The following is a 21,424-nucleotide window of genomic DNA, read 5'->3' as shown; positions in this document are numbered from 1 at the left end:
AGGTATGTCTTTATCAGCAGCGTGAAAACGGACTAATATACACAACAAACTATTTCAAGATAGAGTTGAAGCTTCTAGAAATAAAACGATTGTTTCTACCCTTGCCCGTCTATCATGAGTTCATGCTTTCAAACATAGTTTAAGTTTCTACTGTTTTATGATATCTTCCCCAAATTCCCAAAAGCCAGGCCATCTCTACTCTCCAACTCTTCTCTGCCTCATTATCTTATCTCATATACAGCATGAGTTACACAAAGGAGTATTTGCTGCTTTCTATGTCCATCTCCACTAACAGACTAAGGGTTCCTGGAAGGCAGACTGCGTTATATATGTCTGAATATCCCAGCATATGGCAGAAATTCCTGAAGCACACAATATCCTCAGAACAAACTGGTTGAAGTTGAAAGGGAATTTGTCTATCATCTTAGCCCAGGTTTTATTTTTTCTTTTTAATTGTTCTACATCATTGACTGAGTGTTTCAAAACTGCATGCTGTATAAATTTAAAAATATGATTAGGGTCCCTATTTATTTTTTCTTCTCCTTCAGGATTAATTCGTTTTTATAGAGGGTCAAGCCTTTTCAATAAAGAGACGGTAAATATTGCAAAGTTTGTGGGTCATTTGGTTTCTCAAAACTAGTCAATGCCACCAAGTAGACAGAAATCAGACATAGACAACACATAAGCAAATGGGCGTGACTGAATTCCAATAAAACTTTATTTACAAACACAGCAGTGCACTGGATTTTGCCTATGAATTATAGTTTGCTGGACTTTTTTTCTGGACATATAATACAAGTCCCTTCTTTTCTATTTCCAAGTCACTCAGATAATGTAAAATCCTAATAATCAAATGCCCTATTGCTCTGCCAACCAATTTTAAATTGCAACCAAATGCTTATTATTTGTGAACATCCTTGTGGAATCTGATTTGTAGTCTCTCATCTTCTGACAGCACTTGGTATAGGTCCATTAGAATGCAACCAACAAGGACAGAAGATAGCAGAAAAAACAAGCAGCGGAGCAAGTGTCCACAACCTTTGACTCTGATGGGCACAAGCATAGGTCTAATCACCAAGAAAAGAGGTTTAGAAACAATGTCTCATGATATCAGAAGATGTTATGTCCCCGCTTTATGCTAGCACATCATCTGATACAGAATAAAACGCAGTAAATCAGGGAATAAATGATGAGTACAGGGGATTCTGGCTCACAAAAAAATCATTTTCAGCATGGACTGCCTGAGTTTATGATAATATTGACATCACCTTCAAGAAATTCTCCCTGTTTTTTTTCTTTAACTCATCTATGGAGTGATAACATTTTCTTAGCTGTTTTTGTCTCCATAATTAAAATAGGTATTAGTGCCTAAGTGAATTCTGTAGTAAGGATATAGCAAAATGCTTGCCATATAGAGGGCATAACAGTTTGTAGAATGAATGGATGGATGGATGCAAAACATCAGACAGACTGTTTCAAGTGAGAAATCTATCCTAATCTGAAACATACCATTAGGTAGGAACTCTAGACAGACAGATGGATAGATAGATAGATAGCTTTAGCTGTAAATATTAAATAATAATAGAGACATAGAAACAAGACAAGGTGGAAGCTTAATAATTATTACCTATAACAGAGGAATTCCCTCAGGAAGAATTTACCTAAGCCTTCTATGTGCTTCCTTGGTTCCTTGTTCATTATGACATTTAGCTTAGGAAGTTGGAATTAGTTATTTCTGCTTTGTCTCCATTTCTTAATCATGAGACTCTTGAAGACAGGAATCATAGTTGACTCAGGAATTATAGTTGTTTCATCTCTCTCTCTCTGTCTCAGACCCCAGTGCATTTCTTCTATGACTCACTGCAAGGCTTTATATAATAATAAAAAAAAACCTTCACAACTATTTGAAGAATAAAGGATTTTGGATGCCTGGCAAAAGAATGTAAGTGCTATCACTTCAGGACTACCAAGATGGTATTTCCCTAGCTCAGAGTTTCACCTGCGGTTATCACTTCCCGCATGGAAAGGGACTGGGTTTCACTGCAGGAGCTCTGAGTTCTATTGTGGTTAAGTCCAGTCCCCTTTGGTGAGGCTGAGATGAGGACTAGTCTGGATACAACTCCTGAAACTAAAGGTGCATTAAATCACAGTGATGTAGCTGTCATCCAAACACTGGAGGCCACTCTGGCAAATCATCCTAACCCCTTTGTCCAAGGATATATTTTTCTTTGGCTTGAGTGTTTACAATGTAACCATAATCCTAGTTAAGCATCATCCTTTACCTGTAAATGCTACTGTCAGAGCATGACATACTGGAAACTTAAAGCTATTTTAAATGTAGGGCTTTGAGAAATAAAAAAACTAATTAGCTTCTCACTATCAATATTTTTTTGCATTTGAAATTTCCTTTGTTGAGTTTACTTAAAATATGGAATATCCTTTGTGAAAATGGAACATTCCTGCTATTAAACTGAAAATGACAATGACGATAGCACTTTGACAAGATAACACAGTGATAAAAACATTTTGTAGCAAACACTTCATATGCCAGAATTAGAATCAAGCAAACACTCTTTTCCCTTCCTGAAGCATTACAGAAAAGAGGAAAAACCTTTTTAGAGAGGAAGAAAAAATATTTTTTGACATGTGCATCTTAGCTTGGTTACAAGAGCTAAGAAACCAATACAACCTAGCAACATGCTGGCCCAAACTGGCCAACAATAAAATAGAAAGGGGAAAAAATAAACCTCCAGTGCCAGATCCATCTCAAGTGGAAATTTTCTTGGTGCTTGAGCACCAGAGTCATCATTAAACTCTGGAGAAATTCCCCAGCCTCAGGAACACTGGAAACAAATACCCAAATGAGGGTACTATTTATTTAAAATAAGGGTACCATACTCAAAGTGATTCAAGAAGTATGAAGGCTAGATAGAGCAAATGAAGGAATGAATGAAGGAGAGACAAACAGGACAGAAGACAGAGATCTTACTGCAGTGGGCCAGAGATGATATCTGGGTGTCTGGATACGACGTGAGTGCAGCAGTACACATGAACAGCTCATGGTTCCCCACCAATCCTCCTTGATGAGTATTCATTGTCTGAAATGGAAACCTCATAAGCCAGTTATGAGCACTAAGCAGGATCTAACTTCCCATCCTGATTTGGCATTATGTAAACCTCTGTGAGCTCAATGGATTCCCAGGGGCCTAAGGTCTTCATCTATGGAGTGGGAGTAAGGCATGATCCTTTAGGAGCCTTTGCTAGTGGTGAAAAGAATTCACCATCCCTATGTAGCCCATAAAGATTGTAGAATCACATGATGGCTCGTTTTTTCTAAGTAATACTTAGTGAAAGTTTAATCTAAAGTCAACTACATCATGTGCTCAAGTCAACTAAAGTACTACTATAATGCAGAGCACCAACATATTAATGGAATATGAGGAAGGTTCCATTAAAATTTTCCTATTTATGTAGTGTTCTATTGTCCAAAAAGTACTTTTTCATTGAGTCTCATGTTTGAACCTCACAACAAGCAGAGTGAAAAAGGTCTAATGATTATTCCAGATTTACAAATGAGAACATTGAGGCTTAGTAAGACCAAACGATGTAACTGAAGACCCATCTTTGACCACAGGCCTTATGTGCTGACCATATCCCACAGCTTTTTTCATCCAGTCTTCCCTCACCTTTAATTATGAAAGAGGAACACTTTTTGAGAAAAATATGCTAAAGTAGCCACGATAGAGCAGAGAAGGATCAGGTCAGGACAGCTGTGATACATTACAGAAATGACCGGCAGTGACTCTTCTTCAAAGAACGTGTTTGAGGTAAGCTCAGGTGCTCAGATGCTCTCTCTTAAATCCATGCAGACAGGGTGGAGGTGATGCTTGTTCTGAGGTCCCCATAATAGCCAGGACTAATGTGAATGCACTCTCTGTCTCACATCCACACCTCCTTTATTGTCTCTTGAAAGTACACAAAGGGGACCATAGGGAATGGCAGGGAAAGCTTTCTTAACCTTGGAAAGGCATTAGTACCAGCTGTGTCCTGAGGTATAAACACGCTAAGTCAAACAAAACCCAAGAGAGGGCAGGAGAAAAGGAACAAGTGAATCAAGTCTTCTGTTTACAGTCCTTGCAGGCAAATATTTTTTTTTTTCAACTAATGAAAGATCCATTCATGAAGCCCTATCTCCCAATTAAGCGGGCACTTTCCATCAGGCACCGCAGCAGACGCTCTTTACCGGATCAAGCCAGGCCCCCGGATACAGTGAGCCCTGTGTGAGGACCACAGCTGGCATCCCAAAGTCAGCAGAGTCCTGCACAGGGTGGGCCCAGGTCAGAGCTGGATGGTGGGAAATGCAGTGTGTTCACCTCCACCCTCTTCTGCAAGTGAGCTTACACAGGGAAATCCAGAGTAGAAGTGAACAGTTCAAAACAGGGGTTCCAACTGTTAAGAAGAAGGGTGAGTGGATGAAAAGAAGTAAATATTAGTTGAATACCTATTATGGGCCAAGAACTAGGCCAGACACTGGCATGTTATCTAGCTCAATTAACAGCAACACTCTGCTTGGCACATATTCACAGTAAGGCTCAGGCAGGGGAAGCAACCTAGCTAGACACAAATGTCCAGGAAGTGGCAATGAGATGTGTATTGAGGTTGCAATGATTCCAGAGACTGTATTTGTTTGTTCCTTTTATAGCTTCCTGATGATTTGTTCGGTTTATGCATCTAAGCTTCAGCACCATGTGATAGAAAGGGAACTTGTGTTTTGTTCCTAGCTGAGAAACTTTTTGGCTTTCTGCCAAATGTGGGGCATCAGTTGAGGTGATTTCTAAGGAACATTTAAGATCTGGTAATGTTCTAATTCTGTGGCATATAGGAGCTTTTTGTACTTAAATGTAGCAAGATATCAGTGGTTTTGAGGTTGTGCCCCACAAAATACCAATTTGCTTTGGGTAATTCTGTATGCACATCCTTGCCTTTATAGGCAACCTGACTCCTACGGGCCTCAGTTGCATCATTAGTAAAACAGATAACAAAAACTCTGCCTACAATCATTCAAAAATATGCAGGGAGAACCAACTGAGTTTATAGTACTTTGTATGCAAAGAATTATTTTACAGATAAAATCAGCATCATTGTTCTTCCAGGGGCTAGCTTATAGGGTTCCTGATCATTCACTGGTAGCCAGGACTGCCTCCGTAAACAGAACTTTGGGTATGGTTCTGTTTACCATATTATGCTCCAGGTGACCAGCTGAGGTTCTGGCTGACCATCCTTGGTCACTCCCTGACTAAGGAATAAATCCTGAAGGAAAAAGAAGAAAACACTGATACTTTTACCCTAGGGTGAATGAATGAAGCTATGAAAGTATCTGTCCCTAGCAGGCTGAAACACAATATCCATAATATCATTTCTTCCTAACAACAACCCTGATAAAAAGAAAAAATATTTTCTTCATTTTACAGGTAAGGACATATAACAATGTCAAAATCGGAAGAAATCTTAGACATGATTTCATTTATTTCTCTGTTTAGATTTAGGAAAACTGAAAGCCAAGTCTTGGAATATGTAGGCAAAGCTTTAAAATATAAAGAAAATATAAAGATAAGGTCAGAATTCTACTTTTACCTAATGATTATAAACATTTTTTTTCCTGAAAATTTTGCTTAGATTCAGATCCATTTGTCTGATATAAATTATTTAAGGAATTTATTTTCTGTTTTTTTTTTTGAACTTATATTTGTCAATCAGGGCATGACAAACTTTGCAATCCTCTCAGGGTAAAAGAAGTATATAAAAATTTTCTTATAAATGCACTATCCCTTTAAAAATATTTTCCTATGAACAAGAAAAGAAGGGCTCAGTAGGTTTATCTGAAGCTACTCTGGGTTACAAAGGAGGGCACTGGCAAAACTGATATTAAAGAGAAGGGATCCACGTTCCCACACTGTAGGTATTACTGCGCATTTGTCTCCTAATGAAAAGTGACCTTGTACTCCATGCACGAGACCACACCTCACATAACAACATCTGATTTTGAGCCTTATATTTCTTAACAGGGATGAGGACAGGACCCCGAATACAGATGCTTCAGATGCTTCTGAAAATCATATTTATGAAGAAGTGCTTAAGCACTGAGGATGGCCATCCAAATGGAGAGACGACTGAAGAGATTTGTGAGTATTGTCTTCAACGTATCTAAAGAAAGCATACAAACAAAGGTGCTTTTCCTCTCTCTCTCTCTCCAACCCTTCCTTATTTCTTTCCTTCCATTAAGGAAAAAAAAAAAAAGTTCTAGAACTGAGAAGTAGGACAAGGGTTTAGAAATAATGGGAAAGAGCTTTCACTTATTCAAATATAAAAGTACTTGCTTTGGAAGGTAATAAGCATCACATCACTGGAAATAGTAATTACAACGATAATAAAAATAACCAGTAACTGAGTACATACTATTTTCCAGAAGCGGCTAGGTATTCACATGTATTTCTCATTTACTCTTTACTATAATTCTATATGTAGATGCCATCGTACCATTTTGCAAACAAGAAAGTGGAAGTTTAGAGAGCTTCAATAATTCAAGGTCACACATAGTTACTAGAAAACAGAGACAAAATTTGAGTCTAGCTTTGCCTGATTTCACAGTTTACACTAATCTCTTTCTTCCTGTTCCCTCTCTTGTCTGCACCCTGCACCAAGCCACAGCTACCTTGTAATAGATACGACCAACAAATACCAGGTTTGGAAGAACTGGTCACCCTTTTGTTGAGTTAATAAATCTATGTAGTAGTTGGCCATCTCCTCTCAGCATAGATTCTTTTTTCTCTTTTCTTTTCTGATAAAAAATTTTGGCTTCCACATTATAAAAACCCACTCTTTTGCAATGCTCAATCACACAATTTTATTTTAGTACTTTTTTTTTAAAGCTTGGAATAAATAATAGATGAATTTCAGTGACAGGAAGAGAGAACCATTCTTAGATTACATATCAGCAATATTGAAAATATACTTTTTTGTTATACTAAGCGGCCTCCAAATTTGAGATTAATTCAGGAGTTTCTCTAATCTGAAAGGAACATCATTTCCCATATCAATTTATTTTTATCTTTGCTCAGAGTCACAAGGTTCTCCTGAAGTCCACTAGGGTGTTCAAAATTCTTGGATCAATATTTAAGCTTCTCCATAAGATGGAACCATTTCATCCTACCAAACGTTTGTTTACTTCTTTCACTAGAATTGTTTTCTTTAGCTAAACTGGATACTCATTGATCCTGAACTTGTGAAGTACATTCCCAGGGCTACTGCCTTAGATCCTTTTGTTCTTTCAAACCAGGATGCTCTAAATTGTTCTTCTATCCAAATCATCTCTATTTATGAAAGTCTAGCTCAGATCCCTTCTCCTCCAGGAATTTCTTTGGAACACAGAATAAGCGATCTTACCTCTTCATCTTTTATTAAAATATGATGATCATGAGATTCTTACTGGTAGGTATGATGTAGTTTTTCTTTCCCAGTACTAAAACTGCCTTATAGTTCAATATTTCATGGATAGTGGATGATGTTACTGATCTTTGTTCATGAAAATTCCTCTAAAATTCCCAGTCAGCAGTATTTCTGTCTTCCTTTAAGTATCAAAGGTTTTATCTCTATCTACCTTGGTACTATTTTCTACCTTGTGTCATAGCTATTTGGGTTACCACTGGGTTCTTCCCAGTAGACTTCAGGTTACTCAAGAAAAACAATCTCATTGCTTTTTGTACTCCCAAACAGAAATCCTAGCACATAGACGCTACTGAAATACGGGGCATTTTAAAGTGATGGCTCAGGGGTGTCTCATGGTCTGCCAGAATCCTAACCTGCCTGAGCACAGGACAGGAGACATCACATTTATACTCCTGCACAGGACAGGAGACATCACATCTATACTCCTGGGTTGCATATACTCTATCTAAAAAGGCGTCCAGAAAAATTTTGTTTCATTTGAAGGAATCCACAACTACTTATACTTCACTTCTTGTAAGAGTATCAGAGAGCTTCACACATGCTCATTCTCAGATTTTTATAATATGTCTTCAGCAAGGCAATATTATCTCTCTTAAGTCATTCAGTGGTGAGACAGTATTCCCAGCTGATGAATCTTTAGGTGCATTACTTATTTAATTGAATCTAAAAGCCTAAGACAAATGAAGAAGTGACAGTCTTGGAGCTTAAAATGCACTGGTCTCAGCACATTTTACTCGTCTATAAATAGAAGAATAAAAATGCACCAAATTAAGTGAAGTAAGTTCTCTTAATATTTGCAGCAACCTAACTGTGTGGCCCTGGGTACAACTTTCATCTCTGAAACTTTGACTTTCTCCTCTGTAAAATGTCTGGGCTAGAATAATGAATATTCAATTTCTAGCTCTAAACATTCAAAATTCTAAAAGGAACCTATGTAGTAAGAATCAAAAGTTTCCTCTCATTCATTCCTAGTCTCAAACTCGCTTCTTCTTGTACCCAGGCTAGAGCAAAATATTTCAGTGGTCAGAAACTGTAAATTCTTTTAGCATTTTGGCACTTTTATAACTAAAACTCAATTATCAGGTTAATTTTTTTTTTTCCCTGAGATGGAGTTTTGCTCTTGTTGCCCAGGCTAGAGTGCAATGGTGCGATCTCAGCTTACCGCAACCTCTGCATCCCGGGTTCAAGCAATTCTCCTGCTTCAGCTTCCCGAGTAGCTGGGATTACAGGCATGTGCCACCACACCCAGCTAATTTTGTATTTTTAGTAGAGACAGGGTTTCTCTATGTTGGTCAGGCTGGTCTCAAACTCCCGACCTCAGGTGATCTGCCTGCCTCGGCCTCCCAAAGTGCTGGGATTACAAGTGTGAGCCACCGCACCTGACCGATTATCAGGTTACTTTTATGGCGTCCATCACCCACAGCATGGCATTTTATCCCAATTGTTGACCTCTTGAGTTAAAGATGTCATCACGTCAAATAATAAGTCTCAGGGATAAAGCTAAAATACTCTGAATCTTTAACATTAAAAGCTTAATCTCCTAAAGGGAGACTTCACCAAATACTGTATGAGGACATTTATTCCATTTCTTAGTCCGGCACTGTGTGTGGCTTCAGGAAAGTTGTTGACTACTAAACGTTAACCAAACATCCTATTTTTAGAAGAATATTTAGCTCCATCTTTATAGTGTCTGGACCTGTAACTATCCATTTCTCTAACATTATGCTGAGCCACATGAGAAAATTAATACAGTGATAATATTTCCAGGGCACACTGAGTCACTGTCCAATGTCTAAAATGGGAAATAAATAATTTATGAGGATTTCTTAGCTCAGTGAGAAGAAGGGTACTTGACTACTGGTTTTCTGAAATAAACCTCAGGGTTTAACTTTGGAGGAAATACTCTATTCCCCAAAACTGGGGATGTTAGCTTAAAAAAAAAATTCCACTTCAGGCTCATGAATATGAAGTAAGCATGGGCAGATGTCAGTATCACCAATAATTATCAAGCGCAACTGCTATAAAAGCAAGGATGCGGTTTGCTTCTGATGGTAATAGGCCTTCTTTGGGAAATGAAAGATCAGGTCCGTTCCATCCGGTAACCAGCCACGGGAGAGGCTAAGGATCAAAGACCTCCAGATTCAAATCCCAGGCCACACAGAAAGCAGGGAGTTTCTATCAGAACAGGATGAATGTCACAGCCATTGTGGGAGGCTGCCTAGTCCCCATGTGAATTAACAGAAGTGTTGTGTCTATACTTGGTCCATCCGAAACCTTCCTTTGCTGCCAACTTTACCTCAAAAAGAAAACAAAGAAGAAAAGAAAATAATAGTTACGCTTCTGGATTCTGAGTCCTCACAGTGCTGCTGCACAAAATTATTTTAATGGCAATCCAAAGAGCCTTGCAAAACACATAATGAAGCCATAATAAAATGGGATACGCATCCTGCTGCTCCGATTAGACCACTTCTATTCAATAGTTGTAACTACTGACTTGTTTTTCCTTTGGTATTAGGAGCCTTATTACTGTGCTGAACATAACATATCTCATTTTGTTTTCCTACCTGTGCTTGCCTCTCTTACTGATGACTGAAATTTGACATTTATGAAATCACATAAAAATACTGTATAATCCTCCCCACTAACCCCTCCCAAATCGTATAAAAATTTTCAGAGGACAATAGAAAGATGTACACTTCTATGCATGTGTCCTCTTCTCTAACCACTTCTAACTGACATTCTTCCTCTCACTCTCTCGCTCTGGCTGGAGAACACACTGTACTTTGGAGATAATTGACTGTGGAATATGATTATGTTTATTCAAAAACAGGTCACACAGACTGCAATTTGAGAGTCTTCCTTTATCCTCTTTACTTATTTTCATCCAAGGGAAATGCATAACGCAGTTTCCTGCAAATCAGAAATGTGGAGCCTTAATTACTTCTTTAGATTTAACCTTCTGAGAAAAATCCACTGCAAATGTACCCTCCTCCCTTGTGATTGGAGAGATTTGGAACATTCATCTCAGATTCTCGTTTAGAATAAACTAGAATGAGAGTGAGTGTGCACTCACATCATTCTAAGAGTATGTTCTACTGTTTCTGAAAAAACACATTATGGCATTTGGCCTTATTTTTTGGAGAATAATACAAATAGTAATTTCTGTATGGGAAGTTGTGATTACAATAATCAGTTGTGTTATCAATAATCACTGCCATGGTATAGACATGTAGACAGATTGCTCTTTGGCTTGAGGTCAGAGCTTTTTCTCCAGTGGCCAGTTACTATCATTCTGATATATTCAAGTTTAAAAAAAAAAAATTCCAAAAGAGCTATATGGTAAGGCAATGAGACTCTTGCTATGGGAAGAGTAGCCCATATAAATCACTTCTATTGTAAAAAAGATACCCATATTGCACAGGTTGGATTTTCATAAATTAAGGTAACTTTTATGGGATACCATGAGGGATCTGTTTCTTTTTTTTTTTTCGTCCCAAACTTTTATTATTATTATTATTATTATTATACTTTAAGTTTTAGGGTACATGTGCACATTGTGCAGGTTACTTACATACGTATACATGTGCCATGCTGGTGCGCTGCACCCACTAACTCGTCATCTAGCATTAGGTATATCTCCCAATGCTATCCCTCCCCCCTCCCCCCACCCCACAACAGTCCCCAGAGTGTGATGTTCCCCTTCCTGTGTCCATGTGATCTCATTGTTCAATTCCCACCTATAAGTGAGAATATGTGGTGTTTGGTTTTTTGTTCTTGCGATAGCTTACTGAGAATGATGATTTCCAATTTCATCCATGTCCCTACAAAGGACATGAACTCATCATTTTTTATGGCTGCATAGTATTCCATGGTGTATATGTGCCACATTTTCTTAATCCAGTCTATCATTGTTGGACATTTGGGTTGGTTCCAAGTCTTTGCTATTGTGAATAATGCTGCAATAAACATACGTGTGCATGTGTCTTTATAGCAGCATGATTTGTAGTCCTTTGGGTATATACCCAGTAATGGGATGGCTGGGTCAAATGGTATTTCTAGTTCTAGATCCCTGAGGTATTGCCACACTGACTTCCACAATGGTTGAACTAGTTTACAGTCCCACCAACAGTGTAAAAGTGTTCCTATTTCTCCACATCCTCTCCAGCACCTGTAGTTTCCTGACTTTTTAATGATTGCCATTCCAACTGGTGTGAGATGGTATCTCATTGTAGTTTTGATTTGCATTTCTCTGATGGCCAGTAATGATGAGCATTTTTTCATGTGTTTTTTTGGCTGCATAAATGTCTTCTTTTGAGAAGTGTCTGTTCATGTCCTTCGCCCACTTTTTGATGGGGTTGTTTGTTTTTTTCTTGTAAATTTGTTTGAGTTCATTGTAGATTCTGGATATTAGCCCTTTGTCAGATGAGTAGGTTGCGAAAATTTTCTCCCATTTTGTAGGTTGCCTGTTCACTCTGATGGTAGTTTCTTTTGCTGTGCAGAAGCTCTTTAGTTTAATTAGATCCCATTTGTCAATTTTGTCCTTTGTTGCCATTGCTTTTGGTGTTTTAGACATGAAGTCCTTGCCCGTGCCTATGTCCTGAATGGTAATGCCTAGGTTTTCTTCTAGGGTTTTTATGGTTTTAGGTCTAACATTTAAGTCTTTAATCCATCTTGAATTGATTTTTGTATAAGGTGTAAGGAAGGGATCCAGTTTCAGCTTTCTACATATGGCTAGCCAGTTTTCCCAGCACCATTTATTAAATAGGGAATCCTTTCCCCATTGCTTGTTTTTCTCAGGTTTGTCAAAGATCAGATGGTTGTAGATATGCGGCGTTATTTCTGAGGACTCTGTTCTGTTCCATTGATCTATATCACTGTTTTGGTACCAGTACCATGCTGTTTTGGTTACCGTAGCCTTGTAGTATAGTTTGAAGTCAGGTAGCGTGATGCCTCCAGCTTTGTTCTTTTGGCTTAGGATTGACTTGGTGATGCGGGCTCTTTTTTGGTTCCATATGAACTTTAAAGTAGTTTTTTCCAATTCTGTGAAGAAAGGCATTGGTAGCTTGATGGGGATGGCATTGAATCTATAAATTACCTTGGGCAGTATGGCCATTTTCACAATATTGATTCTTCTTATCCATGAGCATGGAATGTTCTTCCATTTGTTTGTATCCTCTTTTATTTCCTTGAGCAGTGGTTTGTAGTTCTCCTTGAAGAGGTCCTTCACATCCCTTGTAAGTTGGATTCCTAGGTATTTTATTCTCTTTGAAGCAATTGTGAATGGGAGTTCACTCATGATTTGGCTCTCTGTTTGTCTGTTGTTGGTGTATAAGAATGCTTGTGATTTTTGTACATTGATTTTGTATCCTGAGACTTTGCTGAAGTTGCTTATCAGCTGAAGGAGATTTTGGGCTGAGGCAATGGGGTTTTCTAGATATACAATCATGTCATCTGCAAACAGGGACAATTTGACTTCCTCTTTTCCTAATTGAATACCCTTTATTTCCTTCTCCTGCCTAACTGCCCTGGCCAGAACTTCCAACACTATGTTGAATAGGAGTGGTGAGAGAGGGCATCCCTGTCTTGTGCCAGTTTTCAAAGGGAATGCTTCCAGTTTTTGCCCATTCAGTATGATATTGGCTGTGGGTTTGTCATAGATAGCTCTTATTATTTTGAAATACATCCCATCAATACCTAATTTATTGAGAGTTTTTAGCATGAAGGGCTGTTGAATTTTGTCAAAGGCCTTTTCTGCATCTATTGAGATAATCATGTGGTTTTTGTCTTTGGCTCTGTTTATATGCTGGATTACATTTATTGATTTGCATATATTGAACCAGCCTTGCATCCCAGGGATGAAGCCCACTTGATCATGGTGGATAAGTTTTTTGATGTGCTGCTGGATTCGTTTTGCCAGTATTTTATTGAGGATTTTTGCATCAATGTTCATCAAGGATATTGGTCTAAAATTCTCTTTTTTGGTTGTGTCTCTGCCAGGCTTTGGTATCAGGATGATGCTGGCCTCATAAAATGAGTTAGGGAGGATTCCCTCTTTTTCTATTGATTGGAATAGTTTCAGAAGGAATGGTACCAGTTCCTCCTTGTACCTTTGGTAGAATTCGGCTGTGAATCCATCTGGTCCTGGACTCTTTTTGGTTGGTAAGCTATTGATTATTGCCACAATTTCAGATCCTGTTATTGGTCTATTCAGAGATTCAACTTCTTCCTGGTTTAGTCTTGGGAGCATGTACGTATCAAGGAATTTATCCATTTCTTCTAGATTTTCTAGTTTATTTGCGTAGAGGTGTTTGTAGGTTTCTCTGATGGTAGTTTGTATTTCTGTGGGATTGGTGGTGATATCCCCTTTATCATTTTTTATTGCATCTATTTGATTCTTCTCTCTTTTTTTCTTTATTAGTCTTGCTAGCGGTCTATCAATTTTGTTGATCCTTTCAAAAAACCAGCTCCTGGATTCATTAATTTTTTGAAGGGTTTTTTATGTATCTATTTCCTTCAGTTCTGCTCTGATTTTAGTTATTTCTTGCCTTCTGCTAGCTTTTGAATGTGTTTGCTCTTGCTTTTCTAGTTCTTTTAATTGTGATGTTAGGGTGTCAATTTTGGATCTTTCCTGCTTTCTCTTGTGGGCATTTAGTGCTATAAATTTCCCTCTACACACTGTTTTGAATGCGTCCCAGAGACTCTGGTATGTTGTGCCTTTGTTCTCATTGGTTTCAAAGAACATCTTTATTTCTGCCTTCATTTCGTTATATACCCAGTAGTCATTCAGGAGCAGGTTGGTCAGTTTCCATGTAGTTGAGTGGTTTTGAGTGAGATTCTTAATCCTGAGTTCTAGTTTGATTGCACTGTGGTCTGAGAGATAGTTTGTTATAATTTCTGTTCTTTTACGTTTGCTGAAGAGAACTTTACTTCCAAGTATGTGGTCAATTTTGGAATAGGTGTGGTGTGGTGCTGAAAAAAATGTATATTCTGTTGATTTCGGGTGGAGAGTTCTGCAGATGTCTATTAGGTCCACTTGGTGCAGAGCTGAGTTCAATTCCTGGGTATCCTTGTTGACTTTCTGTCTCGTTGATCTGTCTAATGTTGGTCTTTTGGTCTTTGATGATGGTGATGTACAGATGGGTTTTTGGTGTGGATGTCCTTTCTGTTTGTTAGTTTTCCTTCTAACAGACAGGACCCTCAGCTGCAGGTCTGTTGGAATACCCTGCCGTGTGAGGTGTCAGCGTGCCCCTGCAGGGGGGTGCCTCCCAGTTAGGCTGCTCGGGGGTCAGGGGTCAGGGACCCACTTGAGGAGGCAGTCTGCCCATTCTCAGATCTCCAGCTGCGTGCTGGGAGAACCACTGCTCTCTTCAAAGCTGTCAGACAGGGACATTTAAGTCTGCAGAGGTTACTGCTGTCTTTTTGTTTGTCTGTGCCCTGGGCCCCCAGAGCTGGAGCCTACAGAGGCAGGCAGGCTTCCTTGAGCTGTGGTGGGCTCCCCCCAGTTCGAGCTTCCTGGCTGCTTTGTTTACCTAAGCAAGTCTGGGCAATGGTGGGCGCCCCTCCCCCAGTCTTGCTGCAGCCTTGCAGTTTGATCTCAGACTGCTGTGCTAGGAATCAGCGAGACTCCATGGGGTAGGACCCTCCGAGCAAGGTGCGGGATATAATCTCGTGGTGCACCGTTTTTTAAGCCCGTCGGAAAAGCGCAGTATTCGGGTGGGAGTGACCCGATTTTCCAGGTGCCGTCTGTCACCCCTTTCTTTGGTTAGGAAAGGGAACTCCCTGACCCCTTGCGCTTCCCGAGTGAGGCAATGCCTCGCCCTGCTTCGGCTCGCACACGGTGCGCGCACCCACTGACCTGCGCCCACTGTCTGGCACTGCCTAGTGAGATGAACCCGGTACCTCAGATGGAAATGCAGAAATCACCCGCCTTCTGCGTCGCTCAGGCTGGGAGCTGTAGACCGGAGCTGTTCCTATTCGGCCATCTTGGCTCCTCCCAGAAATTCTTAAACATAATCCAGGGATCTGTTTCTTAATCTGAATACCATCCTTCAATTTCCTTTTCAACGATCTAGGCTAGGCATTGGGTAAAACAGGTGACTCTAACACAAAGAGTTTATTACTTGCAAGCAGCTTCTCCACATAGTCCTTTTTCCAGTAATCTGACACCACTTTTTATCAGCCCGGTGACTGGAATTTCTCCAACACTAAATTCAAATCAGGAATTGGAATTCACTTCAATAAACATTTACTGAGTGCTTATTGTGCCACTGGGGAAGTGCTAAGTTAAGGAATAAACTCATTTAAACTCGACTAAAGAACATATCATTCTCCCACACCCCAGGACATCTTCTGATTTCTCACTATATCAGATTCCAAAACCAGAACTTCTAGATTCTGATACATTAGGAATGAGAGCTGAGATGCTGATTTTTTGAGACAATTTCCACTCCTCAAAACACGAGAAATGGAGCCTCTTAGAGGCTCAGTAGCATTGTGTGTATTTCCCTTGCACACACACGTTCATTTCTCACATGGTTCGGAACGCCTTGTCTGAGCATGTCAAAATAATCTGAATAAGCCTGTTCTCACAATATTTGTGGACAGACTAGAACCAAACGTACTGGTAACCTCTTGAGAACAAGCTGTCTCGTGAGATTTATGCCCCACAGTTCAAAGGAAAGGAACTTAGAAACATATCCAAACTCTCAGTATTTATTTAGATGCAACGACAAGCTTTCTAAGCTGTCCCCACTGATGCCCAAGAAGCACTATCACAAAATAGAACCTTTCAGACAATGCAGCATGTGAGTTAGAGACTTCTGAATGCCTAGAGGCATCAGAAATCTAATCGTTCTCCTAAATGTCTATGAGATTAATATCAAACACAAAATACATATTTTAATAATATAATTTAAACATGGAGCCCATAAAGTTTGCAACTCACAACAAGAATTATTTTACTCTAGTTGTAACTCTTCTGCCATGTCCCACATTAGGGAGATGGAGTGGTTGACAAGAACCAGATCTAGAAGGACGGCTGCACAATCTCTTTCTGGTCCCTATTCTATCCTCGATGCCAGTGGTCCCCAACCTTTTTGGCATCAGGGACCAGTTCTGTGGTCTCCAATTTTTCCATGGATTGGGGCATGGGGATAGTTTCAGGTTGATTCAAGTACTTTACATTTATTGTTCATGCTATTTCTATTACTATTACATTGTAATATATAATGAAGTAATTATACAACTCACCATCAGTGGAATCAGTGGGAGCCCTGAGCTTGTTTTCCCAAAACTAGATGGTCCCATCTGGGGATGATGGGAGACAGTGACAGATCATCAGGCATTAGATTCTCATAAGGAGCACGCAAAATATATCCCTCGCATGTGCAGTTCACAATAGGGTTCACGCTCCTATGAGAATCCAATACCGCTGCAATCTGACAGGAGGTGAAGTTCAGGCAGTAATGTGAGTAATGGGGAGTGGCTGTAAATACAGATGAAGCTTCGCCCACTTGCCCGCCACTGACCACCTGCTGTGCAGCCTGGTTCCAACAGGTCACGGACTGGTAGAGGTCCATGGCCCGGGGGTTGGGCACCCCTGCTCTGTGCCTGTAGGACCATGAGCAAATGACTTCAGGCCTCATTCTCTTCATCTATTTCTTCTGTCACTGAAACCTTTGAGGGCAAGGGATTGTGTCTTCTCTACCTCCATTCCTATCACAGGGCCTGGCACACAGTAAGTGATCAATAAATGTCTGCAGAGCAAATGAGAAAAATAATAGCTTTAAGCCAGATACTATATAAACGCCCCTCCAATGCTAAAGTTAATTTGGCAAAGAAAATATCAGAGTGGTCATTTGAATCGCTGAGAAAAGAAACGAAAAGAAAGAGAGCTTTGATTCCAGAATCTGAGACACTAAGTGCTTCCCAGTATTTTCTTTTTATTAAGGTTTATGTAACTATTCTTTATATGGAATATTTTCATGCAGACTTTTGTGTAGATCCCCTTAAAATATATCTTGTGTTGACCGACAGACTGATGGTAGTACAGTTTTGGTCTAATCAAATTATGCATTTTATCTGATAGTTCCATGGCAGAGAGAGTAAGCCATGTCTGGAACAAAGTGAAAAATGAGATCAGAAGGTTAAAAGCCTTCAAATTATTTCCATGAGCAAAAGAGTAAAAAGGAATAACTCTATAGTACATTATACAACATATTGAAGAGGCATCAGTCAAAGATGGAACTGTGATAACAGCTTGAAGAATGATATGAATGATATATAGATGATATATAGATGTACTTTCAATTACATCCCTGCCATTTTACTTGTAAATATTGTGACTGTATTACCTCCATTTGGCAAGAGTGACAGATTATTTTTGTTAGCATGCCCCTCCTCACCCTATCTGACTTTATTTTAATATACTCATGCCATTAGAATATGTTATCTGGAAAAAAATCACTGTGGGAAGAAAAGATGAGCGTGTTCATTCACTGTAGACAGAGGACCAGGTTTTGTATAGTCTTTCTTATTGTTACTCCAAAGAATGTAGTTCACAGCCATTCTCATCGAGAGGTGTGCTAATACTGCTCACAGGAATGCTGTCTGCCACCAGTAAGCCTTACAATACCAGTTATGTAAGTAACTGGTTATTAATGCTTTTGCTTCTCAAATTACAGCAAGAAGAGTGATAGAAGCTTTGACAAAACAACACAACAGCATTTACATGGTCTGTGTAAAGAACTGTGTCTTAGCAGTGACGTGGGAGGTGACCCGGGTGGGTTCTGTTTAGACTGGTTGATGCCTGTGTGCTACCAGCATATGTGGTGAATTTTACTACACAGTTCCCTGTTCTCAAGTACTCATAGCCCAGTATGATAGTGACAACATATCTTGTTCAAGATTGAAGTAATCAACACATCTATATGACTTGGAAGAATCATTCAAAGACTGAACACTCAGATATCCCTACTGGTTCTGTCACTAGGTCACACTGGGTGATGGCTGGCCAACAACTTTCCTCAGATTGCATAAATAAGATAGTATGTTAGACTTTTCTCCCTCTGGGTCAAGGAAAGTTCAGAAAGAAGGCCATGCTTCTATGTCGTCTATGAGAGAGAGAAGAGCCACCAGAATAAACAAATAAGCAGGAAATGGGGGATGAGAAAAAAGATAATGAAAACGAACGTGGGGTAGAGTTGAGGGCTAGCAAGAGAGAAATGGAGGAAGACAAAAGGGGCGCTACAGAAGAACTACCAAATACAACTGAAGAATACCTTCCACTTGTCCGTAAGTGTTAGTATTGAAACGTAGAGTCTTAGTGAAAACAGTTAACGTAAGCCCTTTTCTGGTGACTTGGATAAAGCTTAATTCTTTCAGATGTTGTCACAGAAACAGCTTAAGGGGTTCCAGAACAGAAATGTGACTGGATGTTCTCAGCTTCAGCTGAGAGAGGACATTCTCCAAAGGAACTGAGGTGGCCACAAAACCAGAGTTTCTTTTAGTACATTTGCTTTGCCATTACCCAGGCCAAGTAACCAAAAAACTTTAACTGTTACAGATAGAGAATACATGTGATAGAAGTCCCACCATGTGCAGCACCAGCACACTGGAATGCCTTTCCATCTCCCAGTCTCCCCACCCAGGCCCTATCCTACCGGTCCTATAGGTTAGATCAAATGCTACTTCCTCATAAAGGTTTTCCTGAACATTCAGCTGAAGGTGGCCTTTAAATCACCAGGATAGCTAGTAGATTTTATTTGTAACCACTTAGGTTACCCATTACTTTCTATGCAGTGCTGTAGACATCAGCATATGTATCTTATTCTTCAACATGGGGTCTAGAATATAGTATACACTAAATAAATGTTTGAGGAAAAGACAGAGGTAAGGAGAGAGGGAGGGAAAAAAGGAAAGGAATAACTATTTCTGAGGAAGTATCCAGAGTAAAATAAATACTTTTAAATAAACATGCTTTGACGAGGAAGGAAATGAAGCTTCAGGGGCCCTCATGTACACTGGCCCCTACTAAGGTCTTGGGAGGGGACCAAGCTGTATGTTCACTATGGTTCTTCTACTCTGTCTTCTGTGTACGCTCATGTAGGGAAATGTTAGAATCAACATGTGACCTTTGAGATTGGTTAAGAAAGGTTGAGTCAGGGAGACATTTAGCTGAGTGTCATGGGATATATTTACATGGTCTGCAGTCACTATGGTGTGTGCTTAAGTCATCACCCATCGTCATTGTATAGGAATGAGTTCCTGGAATGCTTCAATGTGCCTGGGCCCATTACTGTCCTAGCTCTGTGACACAGATTTGTGGGACCAGAAGTCACGTGTCATTAATGTGTCCTATAACACCCAGCATGGAAATTAGACTAGTAGAGGAGACAAACAGGAGTAAAATGCATAGAGACAGAAATTGAGTCTGCTGGAAATTCAACCAATAGTCAGATGTGTAAAAGTATACATGTGGAGTACTACTTGGTTTTCGATGATGCAAATGGAGATACTTTCTCTTTAGGAATGTGCTTAGTAATGCACTGAACACAATTATAAATGCACGGCTGACTTGATTTTTCTTTTTGATGCTAATTGCACAAAATAGAACTCATCAGCTATGAATCTGCAGTAAGAGTAAGGGTGTTGTAATAGCTCACAAATAAAAGAAACTTAATAGGAGTGTCCCCAAATTTGATTATCTTAAATTTCAAACAACAATACTAATAAAAGTTGTGCAGATTAAAGGCAGTTTTCCAAACTTTTAAAAACTATAATAATAAAAAATGTTTATCACTCAGGCTAGAAGAAAGATAATTTTTTTTCTAAGTATAAACATTATTTTCTTTCTTTTTCAACTTTTATTTTTGTTTCAGGGGATACATGTGCAGGTTTGTTACATCAGTAAGTTGTGTGTCCCAGGGGTTTGGTGTACAAACTATTTCATCACCCAGGTAGTGATCACAGTACCCAATAGATAGTTTTTCGACCCTCACCCTTCTCCTAGCCTCTACACCAAGTATGTCCTAGTGTCTATTGTTCCCCTCTTGGTGACCATGTGTATTCAGTGTTTAGCTCCCACTTACAAGTGAAAACATGTGGTATTTGGTTTTCCGTTCATGTTAGTTTGCTAAGAATAATGGCCTCCAGCTCCATCCATGTCCCTGCAAAGGACATGATCTCGCTCTTTTCATGGCTGCACAGTATTCCATGGTGCATACATACCATATTTTCTTTACCCAGTCTATTATTGATGGGCATTTAGGTTGATCCCAGGTCTTTGCTATTTTGAATAGTGCTGCAATGAACATACAAGTGCATTTGTCTTTTCATTAGGTTTCTGCCATTACTTTTAATGGCAGAAACCACAATTACTTTTGCACCAACTTAATAGAACAATTTATATTCCTTTAGGTATATACCCAGTAATGGGATTGCTAGGTCAAATGGTAGTTCTAGTTTACATTCTTTGAGAAATCCCTGAACTGCTTTCCACAGTGAGACTGAACTAATTTACATTCCCAACAGGAGTGCACAAGCATTCCCTTTTCACCACAACCTTGCCAACATCTATTAATTTTGACTTTTTAATAATAGCCATTCTGAGTGGTGTCAGAAGGAATCTCATTGTGTTTTTGATTTGCATTTGTCTAATGATTACTGATGTTGAGCATTTTTTCATATGCTTGTTGGTTAATTGCACATCTTTTAGAAATGTCTGTTCATGTCCTTTGCCCATTTTTAAATGGGGATGCTTTTTGCTTGCTGATTTGTTTGAGTTCCATATAGATTCTCAATATCAGACTTCTGTCAGATGCATAGTTTGCAAATATTTTCTCTCTTTCTATAGGCTGTCTGTTTACTCTGTTGATAGTTTGTTTTGCTGTGCTGCAGAAGCTCTTTAATTAGGTCTCAC

General features: G+C 39.3%; 1 protein-coding gene and 1 long non-coding RNA gene across 53 annotated transcripts in view, besides 2 other annotated features; one reads left to right on the top strand and one right to left on the bottom strand.

The window, feature by feature from the left end:
• LPP (LIM domain containing preferred translocation partner in lipoma) overlaps positions 1 to 21,424 on the bottom strand; it is a 737,651-nt gene that overhangs the window by 239,126 nt on the left and 477,101 nt on the right. The gene's annotated exons all lie outside the window — the stretch shown is intronic.
• The window catches only part of LOC124906316 (uncharacterized), a 40,949-nt gene continuing 24,766 nt past the window's right edge, over positions 5,242 to 21,424 (top strand). Inside the window, exons 1-2 of the long non-coding RNA XR_007096213.1 lie at positions 5,242 to 5,471; positions 6,066 to 6,182. This is a non-coding gene — a long non-coding RNA (uncharacterized LOC124906316). The remainder of the gene's footprint in view (positions 5,472 to 6,065; positions 6,183 to 21,424) is intronic.
• Positions 14,610 to 15,161: an enhancer, noted in NCBI's record as "H3K27ac-H3K4me1 hESC enhancer chr3:188354173-188354724 (GRCh37/hg19 assembly coordinates)". NCBI's record gives its function as "activates a minimal SCP1, AML or CMV promoter by ChIP-STARR-seq in naive H9 embryonic stem cells {active_cell/tissue: H9 hESC(naive)}" and the evidence as "EXISTENCE:reporter gene assay evidence [ECO:0000049][PMID:30033119]".
• Positions 15,162 to 15,714: an enhancer, noted in NCBI's record as "H3K27ac-H3K4me1 hESC enhancer chr3:188353620-188354172 (GRCh37/hg19 assembly coordinates)". NCBI's record gives its function as "activates a minimal SCP1, AML or CMV promoter by ChIP-STARR-seq in naive H9 embryonic stem cells {active_cell/tissue: H9 hESC(naive)}" and the evidence as "EXISTENCE:reporter gene assay evidence [ECO:0000049][PMID:30033119]".

The sequence above is a fragment of the Homo sapiens genome, chromosome 3 (genome assembly GCF_000001405.40).
Source record: "Homo sapiens chromosome 3, GRCh38.p14 Primary Assembly".
In the NCBI taxonomy this organism is placed as follows: Eukaryota; Metazoa; Chordata; class Mammalia; order Primates; family Hominidae; genus Homo; species Homo sapiens.
The sequence above is the reverse complement of the archived record's forward strand: the minus strand, read 5'-3'. Positions and strand labels throughout refer to the sequence as shown.